The sequence below is a fragment of the Homo sapiens genome, chromosome 14, assembly GCF_000001405.40.
Source record: "Homo sapiens chromosome 14, GRCh38.p14 Primary Assembly".
Taxonomy (NCBI): domain Eukaryota; kingdom Metazoa; phylum Chordata; class Mammalia; order Primates; family Hominidae; genus Homo; species Homo sapiens.
In genome coordinates this window covers 36,123,304-36,145,289 of record NC_000014.9, presented here as the reverse complement: position 1 = coordinate 36,145,289, position 21,986 = coordinate 36,123,304, and the positions used below count along the sequence as shown (strand labels likewise).

At 37.5% G+C, this 21,986-nt stretch overlaps 2 long non-coding RNA genes across 2 annotated transcripts in view; one reads left to right on the top strand and one right to left on the bottom strand.

Annotated features, from left to right (window-relative positions):
* The window catches only part of PTCSC3 (papillary thyroid carcinoma susceptibility candidate 3), a 41,833-nt gene extending 31,433 nt beyond the window's left edge, over nucleotides 1-10,400 (top strand). The window contains exon 4 of the long non-coding RNA NR_049735.3: nucleotides 8,934-10,400. This is a non-coding gene — a long non-coding RNA (papillary thyroid carcinoma susceptibility candidate 3). The remainder of the gene's footprint in view (nucleotides 1-8,933) is intronic.
* The window catches only part of LINC00609 (long intergenic non-protein coding RNA 609), a 94,862-nt gene that overhangs the window by 19,999 nt on the left and 52,877 nt on the right, over nucleotides 1-21,986 (bottom strand). The window lies entirely within an intron of this gene.

Genomic DNA, 21,986 nt, shown 5'->3' with positions numbered 1-21,986 from the left:
GGACCAGATGGATTCACAGCCGAATTCTACCAGAGGTACAAAGAGGAACTGGTACCATTCCTTCTGAAACTATTCCAATCAACAGAAAAAGAGGGAATCCTCCCTAACTCATCTTATGAGGCCAGCGTCATCCTGATACCAAAGCCAGGCAGAGACACAACAAAAAAAGAGAATTTTAGACCAATATCCTTGATGAACATTGATGCAAAAATCCTCAATAAAATACGGGCAAAACGAATCCAGCAGCACATCAAAAAGCTTATCCACCATGATCAAGTGGGCTTCATCCCTGGGATGCAAGGCTGGTTCAATATATGCAAATCAATAAATGTAATCCAGCATATAAACAGAGCCAAAGACAAAAACCACATGATTATCTCAATAGATGCAGAAAAAGCCTTTGACAAAATTCAACAACCCTTCATGCTAAAAACTCTCAATAAATTAGGTATTGATGGGACGTATTTCAAAATAATAAGAGCTATCTATGACAAACCCACAGCCAATATCATACTGAATGGGCAAAAACTGGAAGCATTCCCTTTGAAAACTGGCACAAGACAGGGATGCCCTCTCTCACCACTCCTATTCAACATAGTGTTGGAAGTTCTGGCCAGGGCAATTAGGCAGCAGAAGGAAATAAAGGGTATTCAATTAGGAAAAGAGGAAGTCAAATTGTCCCTGTTTGCAGACGACATGATTGTATATCTAGAAAACCCCATTGTCTCAGCCCAAAATCTCCTTAAGCTGATAAGCAACTTCAGCAAAGTCTCAGGATACAAAATCAATGTACAAAAATCACAAGCATTCTTATACACCAACAACAGACAAACAGAGAGCCAAATCATGAGTGAACTCCCATTCACAATTGCTTCAAAGAGAATAAAATACCTAGGAATCCAACTTATAAGGGATGTGAAGGACCTCTTCAAGGAGAACTACAAACCACTGCTCAAGGAAATAAAAGAGGATACAAACAAATGGAAGAACATTCCATGCTCATGAGTAGGAAGAATCAATATCGTGAAAATGGCCATACTGCCCAAGGTAATTTACAGATTCAACGCCATCCCCATCAAGCTACCAATGCCTTTCTTCACAGAATTGGAAAAAACTACTTTAAAGTTCATATGGAACCAAAAAAGAGCCCGCATTACCAAGCCAATCCTAAGCCAAAAGAACAAAGCTGGAGGCATCACACTACCTGACTTCAAACTATACTACAAGGCTACAGTAACCAAAACAGCATGGTACTGGTACCAAAACAGATATATAGATCAATGGAACAGAACAGAGCCCTCAGAAGTAACGCCACATAACTACAACTATCTGATCTTTGACAAACCTGAGAAAAACAAGCAATGGGGAAAGGATTCCCTATTTAATAAATGGTGCTGGGAAAACTGGCTAGCCATATGTAGAAAGCTGAAACTGGATCCCTTCCTTACACCTTATACAAAAATCAATTCAAGATGGATTAAAGACTTAAACGTTAGACCTAAAACCATAAAAACCCTAGAAGAAAACCTAGGCATTACCATTCAGGACATAGGCATGGGCAAGGACTTCATGTCTAAAACACCAAAAGCAATGGCAACAAAAGCCAAAATTGACAAATGGGATCTAATTAAACTAAAGAGCTTCTGCATAGCAAAAGAAACTACCATCAGAGTGAACAGGCAACCTACAGAATGGGAGAAAATTTTCGCAACCTACTCATCTGACAAAGGGCTAATATCCAGAATCTACAATGAACTCAAGCAAATTTACAAGAAAAAAACAAACAACCCCATCAAAAAGTGGGCGAAGGACATGAACAGACACTTCTCAAAAGAAGACATTTATGCAGCCAAAAAACACATGAAAAAATGCTCATCATCACTGGCCATCAGAGAAATGCAAATCAAAACCACAATGAGATACCATCTCACACCAGTTAGAATGGCAATCATTAAAAAGTCAGGAAACAACAGGTGCTGGAGAGGATGTGGAGAAATAGGAACACTTTTACACTGTTGGTGGGACTGTAAACTAGTTCAACCATTGTGGAAGTCAGTGTGGTGATTCCTCAGGGATCTAGAACTGGAAATACCATTTGACCCAGCCATCCCATTACTGGGTATATACCCAAAGGACTATAAATCATGCTGCTATAAAGACACATGCACACGTATGTTTATTGCGGCACTATTCACAATAGCAAAGACTTGGAACTAACCCAAATGTCCAACAATGATAGACTGGATTAAGAAAATGTGGCACATACACACCATGGAATACTATGCAGCCATAAAAAATGATGAGTTCATGTCCTTTGTAGGGACATGGGTGAAATTGGAAATCATCATTCTCAGTAAACTATCGCAATAACAAAAAACCAGACAGCGCATATTCTCACTCATAGGTGGGAACTGAACAATGAAATCACATGGACACAGGAAGGGGAATATCATAGTCTGGGGACTGTTGTGGGGTGGGGGGAGGGGGGAGGGATAGCATTGGGAGATATACCTAATGCTAGATGATGAGTTAGTGGGTGCAGCGCACCAGCATGGCACATGTATACATATGTAACTAACCTGCACAATGTGCACATGTACCCTAAAACTTAAAGTATAATAATAAAAAAAAAAAAGAAATTGAATGAGCAATTAATAACCTTCCAAAACACAAAGCACCAGGCCCAGATAGTCTCACTGGTGAATTCTACCAAACATTTAAGAAAGAAATGATAACAATTCTTCACAATCTCTTCCAGAAAACAGAAGCAGAGGGAACACTTACTAATTTATTCTAATAGGCCAGTATCACCTTAATACCAAAACCAGATGAAGATATTGCAAGAAAGAAAAATCATGTACCAATGTATCTCATGAATACAGGTGTTAAAATCTCCAACAAAATACGAGGAAATCAATCAATCCATCACAACCATACGGCAGGTATGCAAGGCTGATTGAATGTTCAAAAATTTATTAATATAATCCATAAAATCAGGTTAAAGAAGAAAAATCATATCAATAAATGCAGCAAAAGCATTTGAAAAATCCAACATTTATTCATGATCAGAACTCTCAGCAAATTAAAAATTTAAGAAAACTTTTTCAGCTTGATAAGGAATATCTACCAAAAACTTCCAGCTAACATCATACTTAATGGTGGGAAACTAGTTGCTTTCTGCCTAAGATAAGGAATGAAACCAGGATGTCCCTCTCACCACACCTATTCAACATTACACTGAAATCCTAGCCAATGCAGTAAGACCAGAAAAGAAGACAAAAGGCATACAGGTTGGGAAGAAACAAATAAAACTGTCTTTGTTCACATATGACATGATTGTCTATGTGGAAAAAAAATTCCTGGAATTAATAAGCAATTACGACAAATAGCAAGATTGCATGACACAATGTTAATATATTAAAGTCAATAACTTTCCTACATACCATCAATAAACAATTGGAATTTGAAATTCAAAGCATCTTTTACATTAGCACCAAAAGCACCCAAAATAACTAGGTGTAAATCTGATAAAATGTATAAATATAAATTAATCTGGCTTAGATAAAATATATACATATATATGAGAAAAATATTTTTAGATAAACTATATACATATATAGATAAAATATATAACTCTGGCCAGGCACAGTGGCTCACGCCTGTAATCCCAGCACTTTGGGAGCCTGAGGCAGGCAGACCACCTGATGTTAGGAGTTCGAGACCAGCCTGGCCAACATGGTGAAACCCCGTCTCTACTAAAAATACAAAAATTAGCTGGGCGTGGTGGCATGTGCCTGTAATCCCAGCTACCTGGGATGTTTATAGATATATATATCTATATATCTGACAAAATATATATGAGGAAAACTGTAAGACTGAAAAATATCAAAGAAAATCTAAATAAAGGGAAAGATATTTCATGTTCAGGCATTAAAAAAAATCAATATTGTCAAGATGTCAGTTATCCCCAACTTGATCTATAGATTCAATGCAATCCAAATCAAATTCCTAGCAAGCTGTTTTGTGAATATCAACAAATTGATTCTAAAGTTTATATGGAAAAACAAAACACTCAGAAGAGCCAATACAATATCAAAGAATAAAAACAATCTGAAAACTGACACTACCTTATTTCAGACTTATTTTAAAACTACAATTATCAAGATGATGTGGTATTAATTTAAAAAATAGACAAATTGATTTACACTTATGAACAAAATAAAGAGTCCAGAAATAGACTCACACAAATACAGTCAACTGACCTCTGACAGGAGTAGAGGCAATCCAGTGGAGAAAAGATAGTCTTTTCAACAAATGGTACTACAAAAACTGGACATTTGTATTCCCCCCTCAAAAAAGTCGAGACACAGACCTTACACCTTTCACGAAAATCAACTCAAAATGAATCATAGACCTAAATTTAAAATTCAAAATGTTAACTTCTAGAAGATAACACAGGAAGAAAATCTAAATGATCCAAGGTTTGATAATGAGTTTTTAGAACATCAAAGGTACAATCCATAAAAGAAATCAAGTTGGACTTCATTAAAATTAAAATTTTCTGCTCTAAAAAACTCTTAAGAGAATGAAAAGACGAGCCACAAAAAGATAACCCAATTAAAAAATGGATGAACTATCTGAACAGACACTTCATCAAAGAAGATATACATGTGGCAAATGATCATATGAAAATATGTTCAGCATCACATGTCATTAGGGAATTGAAAATTGAGGTACTACTGCACATGGATTAGAACGACTAAAACAAAAAACCTGACAATATCAAAGGCTGGCAAGAATGTGGACCAACAGGACCTCGCATCTATTATGGATGGAAAGTGCAAAATGGCACAGCTGCTTTAGAACACAATCTGGCAGTTTCTGACGAAGGTAAACACGGACTTAATACAAATACCAATATGCTCTTAAGTATTTAACCCAGATGAATTAGAATGTGTTTTGGTATTATGGCCACACAAAAACCTGCACACAATGTTGATAACAGCTTTATTCATAATTGCCCCAAATGGAAAGCAACTAAGATGTCCCTCAATAGATAAATGAATAATTCAAACTGTGATACATCCATACAATGGAACATTATTTAGCACTAAAAAGAAATGTGCTACCAAGCCATTAAAAGATACAGAGGAAACAAATGCATATTGCAAAGTGAAAGATTCCAGTCTGAAAAGTTTACATACTCTGTCATTCCAACTACATGACATCTTAGAAAACGTAAAACAATAGAGGGAATAAAAAGGTCCATGGTTGCATGGATTCTTGGAGGGTGATGGAAGGGATGGATAGGTGAAGCACAGGGGACTTTTAGGACAGTGAAATTATTCTGTATGGTATTGTAATGGTGGATACCTGATATTATGCATTTGTCAAAACCCACAGAACTATACAGCACAAAGAGAACCCTAATGTAAACTATGGACTTTAGTTAATAATAATCTATCAATATTGGTTTATTAATTATAACAAATATACCACACTAATGCAAGACGCTGAAACCAGGGGAAACTGTGGGGAAGGGAGGATATATAGGAACACTTCATAATCCATTCAGTTTTTCTATAGTTTTAAGTTTTAGCTCTAAAATATAGCCTATTAATTTTTAACCCACATAAAATTGATTTTTGTGTATGTTCTAAACTAAGGACCATAATTGCATGTAGAATCTATATTCATAGATACACATGTTGTGTGTGTGTATTGGGGGGGTAGCGAATAATGGAGGAAGCTGGGAGGCTCTCATAATCATCCAGTTGCAGGGTGATGGTGGCTCAGATCTGGGTGGTAAAACAGTATAATGAGACACACATGGATTCTGTATGTATTTTAAAACTGGAGCCCAGTTATTATTTTCTGTTATTATAGATTATTTTAGTCTGTATTACAATTTTCCAGAAATGCAGTTGTGCACTATATGCTGTTTTACATCTGGCTTTGTTCTTTCAACATGTTTTTGGAGCTTATCCGTGTTCTTTCACATATCAGCAGTTTGGTCTTATTTAATTGCTCAGTATTACATTGCATGGATATTCCACAATTACCTTCAATTGTTTTCAGTTCAAGGCTCTTATTAATAAAGATTCTATGTTCATCCATGTGCAGTCTTTGTATGGACATATATGCATTTCTTTTTTTTTTTTTTTTTTTTTATTTTTGAGATGGAGTCTCGCTCTGTCGCCCAGGCTGCAGTGCGGTGGCGCGATCTCGGCTCAGTGCAAGCTCCGCCTCCTGGGTTCACGCCATTCTCCTGCCTCAGCCTCCTGAGTAGCTGGGACTACAGGCACCTGCCACCACGCCCAGCTAATTTTTTGTATTTTTAGTAGAGACGGGGTTTCACCGTGTTAGCCAGGATGGTTTTGAACTCCTCGTGATCCGCCTGCCTCGGCCTCCCAAAGTGCTAGGATTACAGCCGCGAGCCACCCGCGCCCGGCCACATATATGCATTTCTTTTGGGTAAATATCTACAAGTGGATTTGCCAGACTGTACAGAAAGGGGATGTTTATACTAAACTGCCAAATTGTTTTTCAAAGTAGTTATATAATTTTACATTCCCATAAGTAATGTATAAGAATTCCATATTCTCACCAATACTTGGTTATGTCAATCTTTTAAATTTTAGCCATTCTAGTGGGTATGTAGTGGTAGTTTAATTTGCATATCCTTAATGATTAATGATGTTGAACATCTTTTCGTATGTTTCTTGGTCATTCACATATCTTCTTTTGTGAACTGTCTAAAATTTTGCCAAATTTTTTAGTGAGTTGTCTGTCTCTTATTGAGTTATAACTGACAAAGGTTTTATATCCAAAATACATAAAGAAATGTTATATGTACAGCAAATAATTTGACAGTTTTTAGTTTGCCTTTTCATTTTCTTAACAGTGTATTTGAAGAGTAGAAGTTTTGAAATTTTGAAGTCCAATTTATTTTCTTTTACAACTTTGTGTTCCAAGAAATCTTTGCCTATACCAAGGACATATTCTTCTGTTTTCCTCTAGAAGCTTTATCTCATTTCAGATCTGATGCTTAGGTCTATTTTGAGTTAATTTTGTATATAGAGTGAGTTAAGGGCTAAGATTCATTTTTCCCCCACATGGATATTCAGTTTGTCTAGCACCATTTATCAGAAAAACTGTCCTTTTCTCCATTTGAATTACCTTGGTTTTTCTAATTTAGCAGCCACTTCTTCCTGTTCTCTCCTTTACCATTTCTTCCTCACCACCCCAGATGTTAAATATCAGAGTGATCCAGGGTTCACACTTAAGCCTCTTCTCTACTTCACTCACTCCTTAGGAAATCTCATCCAGTCCCAGGACTTTATTGCTATCAATACGTAGATAATTCTCAAATGCATTTCTGATTCTTCCTCTGAACTCTAGGTTCATACGGCCAATAATCTACTCATCATCTCCACTTGCATGTCTCACCAATAAACATCTAAAATTCCACATATTAAGATATAAGTATTAATTCCCCATACTTCCCCCACCATACCTGCTCCTTTTGCAGCCTTCACCATGTTAGTTGCTCCATGTTATGTAAGATCACATATCTATCTTATAGTTGCTCCATCTCCATGTGAGAAACCTTGGAGTTATCCTTGACTCCTCTCTTTTTCTCACAGAATATATCCAATCCAATAGCAAATCTCCTGGGCTCCACATTTAAAATACACACAGAATCCAACCATTTCTCATTATGCTATTCCTACCACTCAGATATGAGCCATCATCACCCTGCAACTGGATTGTTGTGAGAGCCTCCCAGCTTCCTTCCTTATTTGCCCCCTTCTCCAATGCACACATAATCTGTTAATTATACCCAGCACCATAATCATCATCTACTCAAAACTTTCCAGTATTGCCCATCTCATTCAGAGTATAATCTAAAGTTCTTACATAAGCTGCAAGACCCTCCAGAATACGGTCCCCTTGATATCTCTACGATCTCATATTCTATTGTTCTTCCCTTGCATTCTGTGTTCCAGCCACACTGGCCTCGTTGTTGTACCTAAAATATGTCAAGCTGCTCCCATTTCAGGGCCTTTGTGCTTGTTGTTGCCTCTACCTGCAGCGTTCACACCCTAGATATCTGCATGGCCTCCTTCCTCCCTTTGTGTTTCTGCTCAAATGTTATCTTCTTTGTGAAGCCATCCTTATCCACCCTAATAAAATAGCACCATCCATTTTCTACCTTGTTATTCTGCTTTTTTTTCTATAACACTTACAAAGAAAAAAGAAACACTGCATGTAACTTTCTTGTCTTCCCCTTCCAGAATGAAAGCTCCTCAAGAATAAGGACTTTGTGTTGTTTGATGCTATATTCTCAATAGCAAGAATAAAGCCTGCCACATAATAGGTGCTCATTAAGTATTTGTTGTCAAATGAAAAACTTCTAGCCATTCAATATCTCTTTCCTGACCTACTGAAGAATAATAAAGAACTTTCTTTTCTCTCTAGACTCCCAAATAATTTTGTTTTGTATCTCTTCTGTAAGCCTATGAAGAACTCTCTTCACTATTTGATGATATCTTATTTGCATTTTATTCCCTGGCACCTAGCATAACATCAATTAACAAGTATTTGTTGAATAAATAAATGAATGAGTTGATAAGGGGCCTGTATTATAAGCATAATTACTGGGTAAATAGAATAAATCCTGCCCTATCTCCCTTCCTCATACTTCCATTCTTACTCTTATTCTTCTTCCAACCATCCCCACCTGAACCCTGAAACTGGCTACCCTCTCTCTTACCCATGCCTCCTCATAATCATATCTTCTTACTCTTACCTCTTATTAATCCTAGATAAGCAATGTTACAAACTTACTTCTAAAGTATAAATAGAAAATTTAAAACACCACCAAAATTAAATGTCTAATGGTTAATCCTCATCCTGTCCTTTCTTTACAGAGACAGTGCTCTGCAGGGAGTCTACCACTGTGATGGTTAATACTGAGTGTCAACTTGATTGGATTGAAGGATGCAAAGTATTGTTCCTGGGTGTGTCTGTGAGGGTGTTGCCAAAGGAGATTAACATTTGAGTCAGTGGGCTGGGAAAGGTAGACCCAGCCGTAATCTAGGTGGGCACCATCTAATCAGCTGCCAGCACAGCTAGAAGATAAAGTAGGCAGAAAAACATGAAAACATTAGACTGGCCTAGCCTCTGAGCCTACATCTTTCTCCCATGCTGGATGCTCCCTGCCCTTGAACATCAGACTCCAAGTTTTTCAGTTTTGGGACTGGGACTCACTATCCTTGCTCCTCAGCTTGCAGACAGCCTATTGTGGGACCTTATGATCATGTGAGTTAATACTTAATACATAAATATATATATATACACACACACATATACACACACACACACACATATATATATACACACACACACACATATATATATATATCTGTCCCTCTAGAGAACCCTGACTAATACAACTACTAATAAAAATTGGGGCAAAAGACATTGATTGGGTATTGTAAGTAGGTTATGCTCACAGTAGCAATATCTCTTAAGACTTTTTAAAAGACTTCCTAATAAAAGAGATTTAAAATACAGCAAATAACAAGTTTGTGCATTTTCAATTTCATTATCAGCACCACCTTCATTATCCAAAGTTATTACTAAAGCTTATGACACATACAGCATGAGCAGCAGACAGAAAATTTTGAAGTCAGTGCCTCTGTGGTTCACAGGTGCAGAGGCAGACATCACAGCTGTCAAGCAGTTATTTACAAGAGAGACACTTCTCCAGTAGTAATTGACAACCTTCTTTAAGGGAAAAGAGGCTGCAAAACTGTGGAATATTAGAACATGAAGCCAAAGAGGAAAACTGACTTGCCTAAGGCCACTCAACAAATTATTCAGCCAGAATGGGAACTCATACTTGACTTCAACTTCTTATTCCTCGTGTTCTTACTCCTACAAGTTTTCCACTACTCAGGGGCTCTTTAGGGTAAATTAACCATGAAAACACACACATGCACACACACATACAAACTAAATTCCATTCATATTAAGATATGCTTCCTTTTTTCTCTCCCCTATCCATGGTAGTAATAACAAGAAGTAAAAGCTTTTTCATTATAAAGTAAACTTCCATTTTTCTTTCTTGATACGTTTTCAGGTTTTCCTCTAAAAGTAATTAAAAGTACTACTCAAGTTGTTCCTAGTTGTCTAGAATGGCTTATGCTGCCATTAGCTTCTACAGCTCTGTCATTAGAGAAATGGACTGTACTTCTTCTTCACCTTTCACATGCGGCCAAAATTGGGTTACTTTAAAAGGCCAGATGTCAAAAGCAGATAAATCCTTTGTACTGTAATGAGCATAATGATGAATAATGGCACTTATGTTCAATAAACGATGCCCTGCCCATAAACAGCCTTTCCTCTCAGATATTCTATTTAATTCAATGATATATTCCAGGTAATTTGTGGAACTGAATGAGAAATTACCTTAAACAAGAAGACTTTGGAATTTACTAAAATATACTTGTTGAAAATAATTAATGGAAGCAGAGTTTGCATTAGTAAAATTATGGCATTAAAATCCGTCATTGCATGAATTCATCTTCCAAGTGGCCTGCCTTGGAGCAGGTGTACAGATGAGGGCATTGTGGCATGAACAATGTTGGTAGTAAAAGGCATGCTATTGATATCAATGTGCCATGGTATGTGGTGCTCTTTGTGTGTTTTAAGAACAGAGACAATCCATATAGTGTTGATCATCTCCCACTTAAACTACTGTAAAACCCAACTGATCTTGCTACCTATATTCCATGGAACTATCCTAGTAATCTTTGGAAAACATAAATCACATCACGCCACTAACCCCCACTCAAACTACTAATGGTTTCCCACCATAGTTGAAGTAAAAATCCAAAATGCTTTCCATGCTCTATAAGACTGTAAAAAGACCTATCTCTAGCCTGCCTCTCTGACATTATCGTCTACTATTCTTTCCCCCTTGCTACTCCACACTAGTTACACTTGCAGTATTGATAGTTCTTAAATATTCAAAGATATTCCTTCCCCCAGGGACCTTGCGGTTTTTTTCTCCACTATATCTCATTTTTGCATGAATCACTTCCTCATCACATTCAAGAATCTGCTTATATATCATCTACAACTTCTATTCCCAGCAACACAGCAAACTACATACCTTGAAAAAAAAACTTTCCCAGTGGAGAACAGCTAAAATTGCTTTAAAAATGCATTTTTAGATACTTTAATTGTTTAATTGAGAAGTTTTTTAAAAAATCGTAGAAACCAAAAAGTTAAAGCAAAAACATTAATCTCAAAAGGTAAGAGAATACTGAAAACGATGCCTGTCCTGGGACAATGGCTGATCGCTGATAGTCCAGAGCTGCACTGTTCGATACAGTAGCCACTTGCCACCTGCGACTATTTAAATTTTTTAAAAAATTATAAATTTAATTTCTCAATTACATAAGCCACACTTCAAGTGTTCAATAATCACAGTGGCTGATGGATACCATGTTGGACAACACAAATACAGAACGTTTCCATCATATAGAAAGTTGAATTGGATGCTCTGATCTCAATTTTTAAACAAAACCTAGAGCCCATTGAAAGAGAAAGTTAGATTGGAGACCTCCTCCTATTTCAGGTACACAGATCCCCCTAAAGAAAAAAACACTACACCTACAAGGAACATCCGAGCTAGAAAGAAAATCTTTCCTCCCAAAGTAAAACAGGAAAAACAATGCATGTCTAAGACTTGACCCCAAATTGAAGAAAAAAATGTTCTTCTAGAATACATAACAATCTGTTCTTCACATATGTTTGGAGCCAGAATTTTCTCTACCTCTATGATCCAATTAATTTGAAGCTGAGAAATTTCTTTAAACTAATGCTGGAATGGGAGTGTCACCATGTTCCCAACAGAAGTAAATGTAAACCATCTATTAAGGAACCTACCCTAAATCCCAGGCTTCAACAAAATCCCTGCAAAATGTATAAAAATATATATGCTCACAAAAATAAAATACGAAAGTAAATAAGATACTAAGAGTGAGCAGAAACCACTGAAAGAAGAGTAAAACTCTCAAATACTGTAGATATTAGAATTATTGTATATAGAATATAATGGTTATGTAATAAATACCCTTAAAATAAGAGTGTCAATACTACATTTAATAAATGATTTACTACATACAGCCATTATGGAAAACAATACAGAGCTTCCTCAAAAAACTAAAAACAGAACTGCCATATGACCCAGCAATCCCACTGCTGGGCATATATCCAAAAGAAAGGAAATCAGTATGTCAGTGAGATATCTGTACTACCATGGTTATTGTAGCACTATTCGCAATAGCCAAAATATGGAATCAACCTGAGTGTCCACCAATAGATGAGTAGATTTTTTTAATGTGGTATATATAACAATGAAGTAGTATTCAGCCATAAAAAAGAATGAAATTCTGTCATTTGCAGCAACATGGATGGAATGGGAGGTCATTATGTTAGTGAAATGAGCCAGTCACAGAAAGACAAACATCACATGTTCTCACTTACATGTGGAAGCTAAAAAACTGAATCTCATGGAGGTAGAGAACAGAATGATGATTACAAGAGGCTGGGAAAGGAAGTGGGGAAGGGGAATGAAGATGAGTTGGTTAAAGGGTACAACAATATTGTTAGAAGGAATAAGTTCTATTATTTGATGGTATAGTATGGAAATTATAGTTAACAATAATTTATTATATATTTCAAAATAGCTAAAAAAGAAGAATTATAATGTTCCCAACACAAAAAAAAATGTTCGAGGTGATGGATATCCCAATTACTCTGATTTGACTACATATTGTACGCATCTGTCAAATTATCACATGTATCCCAAAAAACATGTACAATTATGATATATCAATAAAAATACAAATAAGACACTACAAAAATGATTAGGTTTTTTTAAAAAGTCTAGAAATTTAAAATATAGTAAATAATATTTTTGAACAGATTTGAAATGATTGAACAGAAAGTTAATAATTGGAAAATAACTCTGAAGAAATTACACAGATTATAGCCTAAGATAACAAAGTGATTGATAGGGGGCTATAGTAATAAATATAATTGAAGTTTGGAAATAAGGTAATAGAAATAGACAATATTTGAAGGGTAAATGGCTAAGGATTTTCCCAAATTATGAAAGTCATAAATTCCCAGGTTCCAGAAGCCAAACAAATGCTAGAAGGGTAAATAAAAAGAAACACACATGTAGAGATATTGTAATGAACCTGCAGAATACCAAAGATAAAACTATTTTTAAAGTAGACAGTAAAAAGGCAAACCAGCAACAAAGTAATATCAATTAGACTGATGCCTGACTTCTCAAAAGCAGCAGTGAGGCTAGAAGTAAATAGAATAACAACTTCAAGATTAGACAGTTATGACCTAGAATTATATACCAAGTGAAAATGTTGTTTCAAGAATTAAGGCTGTGTCAATCAAACTTTATCTTAGATCAGGGTCTCTAGAAATACAGCTTGAAACAGGAATCTCTATACAGGTGATTAACTGACAGACTTCTCTCCTGAGTAAATTATAATGATGTAAGGGGAACAGGATAAGGCAGGGGAAGAAACTCAAGATGTGGTTTCAGCTATAGTCTAGCCCCAGCCTGACCTCAAGGGAGTTCTGGAGTATGATTATCACCACGTGGTTGTCCCACCTTGAGGCAAAAGGCTTAGGTGTCTTTCAAAGACCCAGGTGTTGTTTATTAATTCCTCACATCAAGTATCTTCTCCATCAAGACTTTAACTGGTGTTTTAGAGCCATGTTAAGACAAATAACTTAGGCATTACTTATAAGCTTTACTATTTTCATTGTTCATTTAAATTTTTTATATATCATGGCCTTAATATGTAGTCTTTTAAAGTTATGTTATATTTACACTCAAGGCACATGATATTAATATATTCACCACTGAGATTGTCTGTGCTAATATTTTGCTACATTCCCTTTAGATTGTCATTATTTTCAAAGAAACAACACATTACAAATACAGTTACAGTCCCACCTTCCATCTCTTCCTCATTCCTGTCTACTCAGAAGTAACCCTTTTTCTGAAATAAGTATTATCATACTCATATATGTTTATTTCTTTCCTTTGGATAAACTTCCTAAATGTTTGATACTCTATATTCAACTTTTTTTTTTTTTAGCCACAACATTATATCTCTGAGACTTGCTATGTTGATACATTCAAATCCAATTCATTCATTTTCATTTTAGGCATTCTGCTGGACCAACAAACAACAGTGTATTTTTTCATCCCCCTGCTGTTTGACAATAAGATTTTCTTAGCCTTGTAACAATTAACAACTCAAAAATATACATCTTTGTATATGTCTCCTTGAACAAGAGTTTCTCCCTGAGAAGCTCCCAGAAGAAGAACTGTTGGGCTATGGAGAATATGCATTGTCAACCTTACTTGGTAGTTCCAACATAGCTTTCCAAAGTGTTTATACTTATTTTCCGTCCCTGCAACCACGCCTTGGAGTTCTTGTTTTGTTTGCATTATCACCAACAGTGAATATTATCAAACTTAATAAATTTGTAAATATAAAATGTTTTGTCCTTGTTTTAATTTACATTTCCTAAGTACTAAAGAAGTTGGACATCTTTACATATATTTATTGGCCATTGTATTAGTTCATTTTCACACTGCTAATAAAGACACACCTGAGCCTGAGTAATTTATAAAGAAAAAGAAATTTAATGGACTCATAGTTCCACATGGCTGGGGAGGTCTCACAATCATGGCAGAAGGTGAATGAGGAGAAAGACATGTCTTACATGGCAGCAGACAAGAGAGAGCATGTGAGGGGAACTGCTGTTTATAAAATCATCAGATTTCATGAGACTTATTCACTATCAAGGGAACAGCATGGGAAAAACCCGCCCCATGATTCAATTACCTCCCACAGGCTCCCTCCCATGACACATGGGGATTATTAGAATTCAAGGTGAGATTTGGGTGGGGACACAAAGCCAAACCATATCAGCCATCTATCTTCCTCTGTCAGTTTACCATTATATATTTTAACAATATTTATATCTGATATTATTGATTTCTAAGAGCATTTTATATATTCTGCGTATTAATATTTCATTGGTAATATGAGTTGCAAGTGTCTTTTCTCAGTCTATGACTTTTATTTTCATCTCTGTCCCCTTTTATACAGAAGTTTTATGTTTCAGTGTATCAGAATGTATTAATTTTTCCTTTCGTGCTTTCTCTAAGAATTATATCTTAGGAGTAAGTTCAAGAGAGCTATTGTACAATATGGTTGTATAGTTAATAACATTTTGAAAATCACTGACTAGATTGTTTTTACCACAAAAAATGATAAGTACATGATGTAATGTATGTGTTAATTAGCTCAAATGAGCCATTCCACAATGTATACGTATTTCAAAACAATGTTGTACACAATAAGTATATAAATATATGCAATTTCTATTGGTCAATTAAAAATATATTTTACTAAAGGCATAAAAATATTCTCCCATTTTTTGGTTGAAAGTTTTAGAGCTTTGCTGATCACATTTAGGTCTTTAAGCTATCTGGAATGTATTTTTGTGAATGATGTGATATAGCAATCTCATTTTATCTTGTACTATATAATGGCCAAGTTCCTCAGCATCATTTATTGATGATTTTATCCCCTTTCTCATATAAAAAACTCCCAAGTATACAATGGTCTGTCTTCTGTCTCTTCTTTGTCAGTCAATTTGTCTAGCTGGGAAAGTACCTCACAGTTTTAAATGAGGTTTCGTATTACTGCCGAGAATCTGGTAAAATGATTCATCACATTTTGTTCTTTTCTCAAGTTACCTTGGCTAAGGGCTTAGGCTTTTGTATCCCTGTCCCTCCAATCAGTCAGCATTGACTGCAGGCTGCCCCCAGGGTAGGAGGGCCTAACTTCCCAAGCATTTCTGAGCAAGGTGGCTCCCAGGGGCCAAAGGCAATTCTCTGGAGAAGAGTGCAACTGTAAGCCATAAGCAGCCAACAGTCACAGTAGCAGGAAGACAGGTACACTGGCCTGGTAGAAGGGATCTGGGTGGGGTGCCAACAGTTTCCAGTACAGGATCCAAAAGGAAAACAGATGGTACACTCAAATTAGGATAATTTAAAGATAGTATATTTGCAAAGGACTAGTGATAAAGGCGTGCTTGGGGTTGGGTAAACTACAAGAGATGGAACTGCTACTATTTTTAGAGCTGGGGGATGAAGGGATAGCGTGGCTGCTGGAACCAAGAATGAGAGGGTCATTTAGAAAGAGCTACCTTGGGAGAAGAAATGACCTTCAGTCAAGGACTACAATCAGCCAAGGTGACCACTGAGGAGAGTGGAGCAGAGAAAGAAATATCCCAGTCTCACTCTCCTTCCACCCTCTGATCTCCTGCTGGGCTCCTCATTTGCTAAGCCCAATGAGAAGCCAGAGAAAGTGTTTGTCGCAGTGTCTATGGGCCAGCCTCCCAGAGAGGAGCTCTGTGGGAAGGGCAGAGAGTGAACCTAGAGGGGCAAATGCACAATCTCCTGCACGGAGGCAAATAAAAGGTATTTCCGACAAACAAATGTCACCTCTTCTGAGTAGTCTTACCAACCATGCTGTCTAAAATAATGTGCCCCCAACCTCTGTCCTTTGTTGGTTCTCCAAACTCTTACCCTGCTATTTGGCTTCAAAGCACTATATTCACATGAAATCATATTAAAAACTTCCACACAATAACGAAGAAAGCCAAGCACATGAATAGAAAGATGAGCAAAGATGAACAAAAATAAGCAATTTGCCAAAGAAAAGTGTAATGTTTAATTACATTTGTAGTCAAAAACATAAAATATATTATAAAATACATGATATAGTTTTCACCCATCAAATTGACAAATATTTTAAAATAATTTCCAATGTTAGGGTTTGAGGAAAACACACTAAGATTGAAATAAAAAATTGGTGTAATGTTTCTGAAGAGTAATTTGAGAATTTATATAAAAAATTTACGCTATTTTATCCAGCCATTTTACTTTTAGGGATGTATTCTAGGAAATGATTCAAGATGTTCTCCAAGATGAGAATTATTTATAAAGGCTAAAAACTGCAAACAATTTGTATGTCCAACAAAAGACAATAGCTTGCCAATGTTTCCCCAACTGTGTTCCTTAGAGCACTAGTTTCATGAAATTCTGCTTGAAAAACTGTTCCACAGTCAACTAAATGTGGAAATACCCTTGGAATGAAAGGTAAACTTTATAATGTAGCCTAACGTGGTGTAACCTGTGATCGGGACAAAAGCTAAGCAACTATTTGGCTTCATAAGTGGGTCAAAAATTATAAACTTAGCCTCATTAGCCCTGTGTTCCAACCACCAGGACTCATTAGTCTGAGTTCAGTTTAATTATCGTTTTAACTTAAATTTATGTTATCAATGAGGTAGTTCACTGTTTATCATTCCCACATTTAGAAGCTGAAAACAGTGAAAATTTATTATCTCACATTTTCTGTGGGTCAGGAACCTGGGCATAGCTTAGCTGGATGTCTCTGGCTCAAGGTCTCTCATGAAATTCCAGGGAAGCTGTCATTTAGGTCTGTGTTCTCATCTGAAGGTTTAACAGAGGAGGATCAGCTTCTAAGCTTAGTCATGTCATTAGCATGCTTTGGCTCTTCACTGGCTGTTGGTCAAAGGCTTCCTTCTGTTCCCTTCCATAGGACAACTCAAAATGACAGCCAGTCTCCCTCAGACAGAGCAAGCCAGTGAGAGAGTAAGAGAGAGCCTAAAAAAGAAGCCATGGTCTTTTTGCAACCTAATCTCAGAAGTGGTATCTCATCATATTTGTCATATTCTATTTGTTAGAAGCAAGTCACTAGTTCCAGCCACACTCAAGCGGAAGGAATGACACACAGGGACAAACACCAGGAAGTAGGGATCACTAGGGGCCATATTAGCAGCTGCCGACCACAGTCACAGTATGAAGGCCCTTGAAATTCTCAAGTGACAAAGACTTGCTAAGTAAGAGCTTCTCTAATCACAATGGAGGTCTGTCTGACAGAAGGGGTGTGCCAAAATGAGAAGCTGAAATTATAAAGTAAATGAGCAAATAGCCAACATCAGTTTCTTTCCAATTTAGTTTGGTGAATATTCTGGCTGACTAGGTGGGGTTCCGGGGTACTTGGGTCCCAGGGTGGAAAAGCAGGGGGTAGGTGGGGACTAACAGGAGAGAGAAAGGGTGGAGAAAAAGATGGAAATGTCTCCAAAACCAGGAGAAGCGACAACAAGGACTGCTCCACAATTTTGCCAAGGGCGAATTCAGCTTTATTACTACAATGTCACTTCAACCTTTGAGGGATAAGGGGTTCATTTCTAATGTAAATTATCTAGGCCTCTTATGTCTCATCAGCTTCTTCCTGATTTTATGTACATTTTTGCCATTTCTTGCTTCTTCTCATTGCCTCTGGAAAATTTAGGAAGGAAAGGAGAAGTAGTAAAATTCAAGTAAAATTCAACAAGCCATTGTTATATTACATTTTATCTCCAGAGAGAATATCATTTTCCTCTCAATGTTTATGTACTGACCCACATAACTGGATACATTAGTAGGAAAACCCTACTTGATTTGATTGCATAATTCAGCACAATCAATTTAGGGAATGTTACAAATTTCTTTTGATCTTAAAGTCCTCAAACATGGGACCTCAGTCAATAAATTTGTCAATAAATTGCTACCCCTCTTTTTCAACATTTGTAGAAATACTGTTTTTCCTCCTGAGTTGACACAAACAATCTCATCCTGCCTCCGAGAAATTACTCCGTGAGGCATGTGAAGACAGTGGCCTATTTTGGACTCCCCAAGAAAAGCTGCATTAGGATCTAATCTTTTTCTTTGCCCTTCCTGGGATGGGCTAGGTGGCATAGGAAGTCTTTTCTATTTCCAATTTTACAACTCCTCTCAGCAAACAGCAGGTAAACAATTTTAATACAAGGCCATTTTCATTATGTGTCTACTAGAGAACATGCCCCTGCATTAAAATAAACAGTAGTAATACAAAAAAAAAAAGTTTGCTCATACAGTAATAGCAACCTTCCAGAATTACAGTGATTGTGCTGCCCAGCAGTATAATACAAAATGTGGTTTTTATCCCAGAAGACACAGAATTTATTATTTTCCTCCTACCTGGCTTTTTAAAGCAATTGGAGCCAGATTTCGGAAAGAACAATTCACTACATTAGCTCTCAAATACAAAAAAAATACATTTTCAGCATTGAAATGAGTCATTTAAAGCAGCACTTCAACAAAATGCTGTCCACCCTGCCCTGGTAATTATGTCATGTCTGGTGTGTACTAATTTACACAGTGTATTCCTGCATAATTAAGGCTATTAAGCCAAATTCAGAGGCTGTGATATACCTACAGTCTTTAATTAATTAAACAAGCACACAGAGAAGTTACTGACAGGGTCAGAGCCTGGTCTTCATGCTCCTGGTGGGAAAGATGCTAAAGAAATGGGTGAGAAGCATTGCCACCTGGAATGTTCCTTCATTAACAATTTTGGATTCATAGAGATTTGAATAGAAGGGGTGGGAGGGACCCAATCCAAAGTCATTTCCCAGAAGGTAGACATTTTCATTCAGTCCTTCACAACCACTTGCCATTAAACCACCAAACGTGAGAAAGTATTTAAAAACAAAAGCAGGTAATGAAATTGACCACCACTTCCAATAATTTCATTGAAGTGAAGGATTTTCCAATATACTTACTTTGGGCTACCTTTACACCAGGGGTGTCCAATCTTTTGGCTTCCCTGGGTCACATTTGAAGAAGAATTGTCTTGGGCCACACATAAAACATACTAATACTAATGATAGCTGATGAGCTTAAAAAAAAATCCTAATGTTTTAAGGAAGTTTACAGATTTGTGTTGAGCCACATTCAAAGCTGCCTGGGAAGCATGTGGCCCACAGGCTGCAGGTTAAACAAGCTTTCATTAGATAGTACCATGGGTCATAAACTATATTAAATCTGGGAAAGATGATTTCTCCAGACTTTTCATTCCCTTTGAAGCCACCAAAAAACACCATATTCATCCAGCCCACTAGATCTAAGCATTCTGTGAGTCAGCCACTAGCAACCACTAACACATAAGAGAAAATCTCAATTGGTGTGGGTTTTAAGGTCCTAAAAAAAATCATAACACTTCTACTTTCTTTGGAATTTCACCCAATACCAGTACTGTGCTTTGTACCCAATGCACCTGTGGCCGGTTGACCGCCCCAAAGGCAAGGAAGGGATACCCAAGAGCATTGATCTTGAATATCTTTTCTTCATAGTTATAATGTGGTCTTTTTCAAGCATGTCCTCAAAAACTATCTTAAAAATCTTTAAACATATCTTTTAAAATTCTCCATTTAAAAAGAAACTTTATATAAATGCAGATTTCTATTGCAAAACAAAGGTGTATTGGGTATTTCACAATGACTTCATTTCTGGCAAATTTTACTTCCCTCTTTCACTACTCCTAGTGATTATCTTACTGGTGCAACCTATGTTCCTGAACACAGACGCTCTGTCAAGAGAAGAGAGGAACCCACTGTAGAGAGAAATGCTATCAACCAAGTGCCAGTATACGGTACTATTCTGTGTATGTTCCTGCAATGTAATTAGGAGCTAAGTATGAGAAGATTCAGAACTCTGAGGGCAGTTCCAAGATGGCCAAATAGGAACAGCTCCAGTCTACAGCTCCCAGCGTGAGCGACACAGAAGAAGGGTGATTTCTGCATTTCCAACTGAGGTACCGGGTTCATCTCACTGGGGTGTGTTGGACAGTGGGTGCAGGACAGTGGGTGCAGCCCACCGAGCAAGAGCCAAACCAGAAGCTCAAGGGGTCAGGGAATTCCCTTTCCTAGCCAAGGGAAGCCGTGACAGACAGCACCTGGAAAATCGGGTCACTCCCACCCTAATACTGCACTTTTCCAATGGTCTTAGCAAACGGCACACCAGGAGATTATATCCCATGCATGGCCTGGAGGGTCCTACACCCACGGAGCCTCGCTCATTGCTAGCACAGCAGTCTGAGATCAAACTGCAAGGTGGCAGCGAGTCTGGGAGAGGGGCACCCACCATTGCTGAGGCTTGAGTAGGTAAACAAAGCAGCAGGGAAGCTCAAACTGGGTGGAGCCCACCTCAGCTCAAGGAGGCCTGCCTGATTCTGTAGACTCCACCTCTGGGGGCAGGGCATAGCCAAACAAAAGGCAGCAGAAACCTCTGCAGATTTAAATGTCCCTTTCTGACAGCATTGAAGACAGTAGTGGTTCTCTCAGTGCGGAATTTAAGATCTGAGAACGGAGAGACTGCCTCCTCAAGTGGGTCCCTGACCCCCAAGTAGCCTAAATGGGAGACACCCCCCAGTAGGGGCAGACTGACACCGCACACGGCTGGGTACCCCTCTGAGATCAAGCTTCCAGAGGAAGGATCAGGCAGCAACATTTGCTGTTCAGCAATATTTCCTGTTCTGCAGCCTCCACTGCTGATACCCAGGAAAACAGGATCTGGAGTGGACCTCCAGCAAACTCCAACAGACCTGCAGCTGAGGGTCCTGACTGTTAGAAGGAAAACTAACAAACAAAAAGGACATCCAGACCAAAACCCCATCTGTATGTCACCATCATCAAAGACCAAAGGTAGACAAAACCACAAAGATGGAGAAAAAACAGAACAGAAAAGCTGAAAATTCTAAAAATCAGAGTGCCTCTCCCCCTCCAAAGGAATGCAGCTCCTCGCCAGCAATGGAACAAAGCTGGATGGAGAATGACTTTGACAAGTTGAGAGAAGAAGGCTTCAGATGATCAAACTACTCCAAGCTACAGGAGGAAGTTGGAACCCATCACAAAGAAGCTAAAAACCTTGAGAAAAGATTAGACGAATGGCTAACCAGAATAACCAG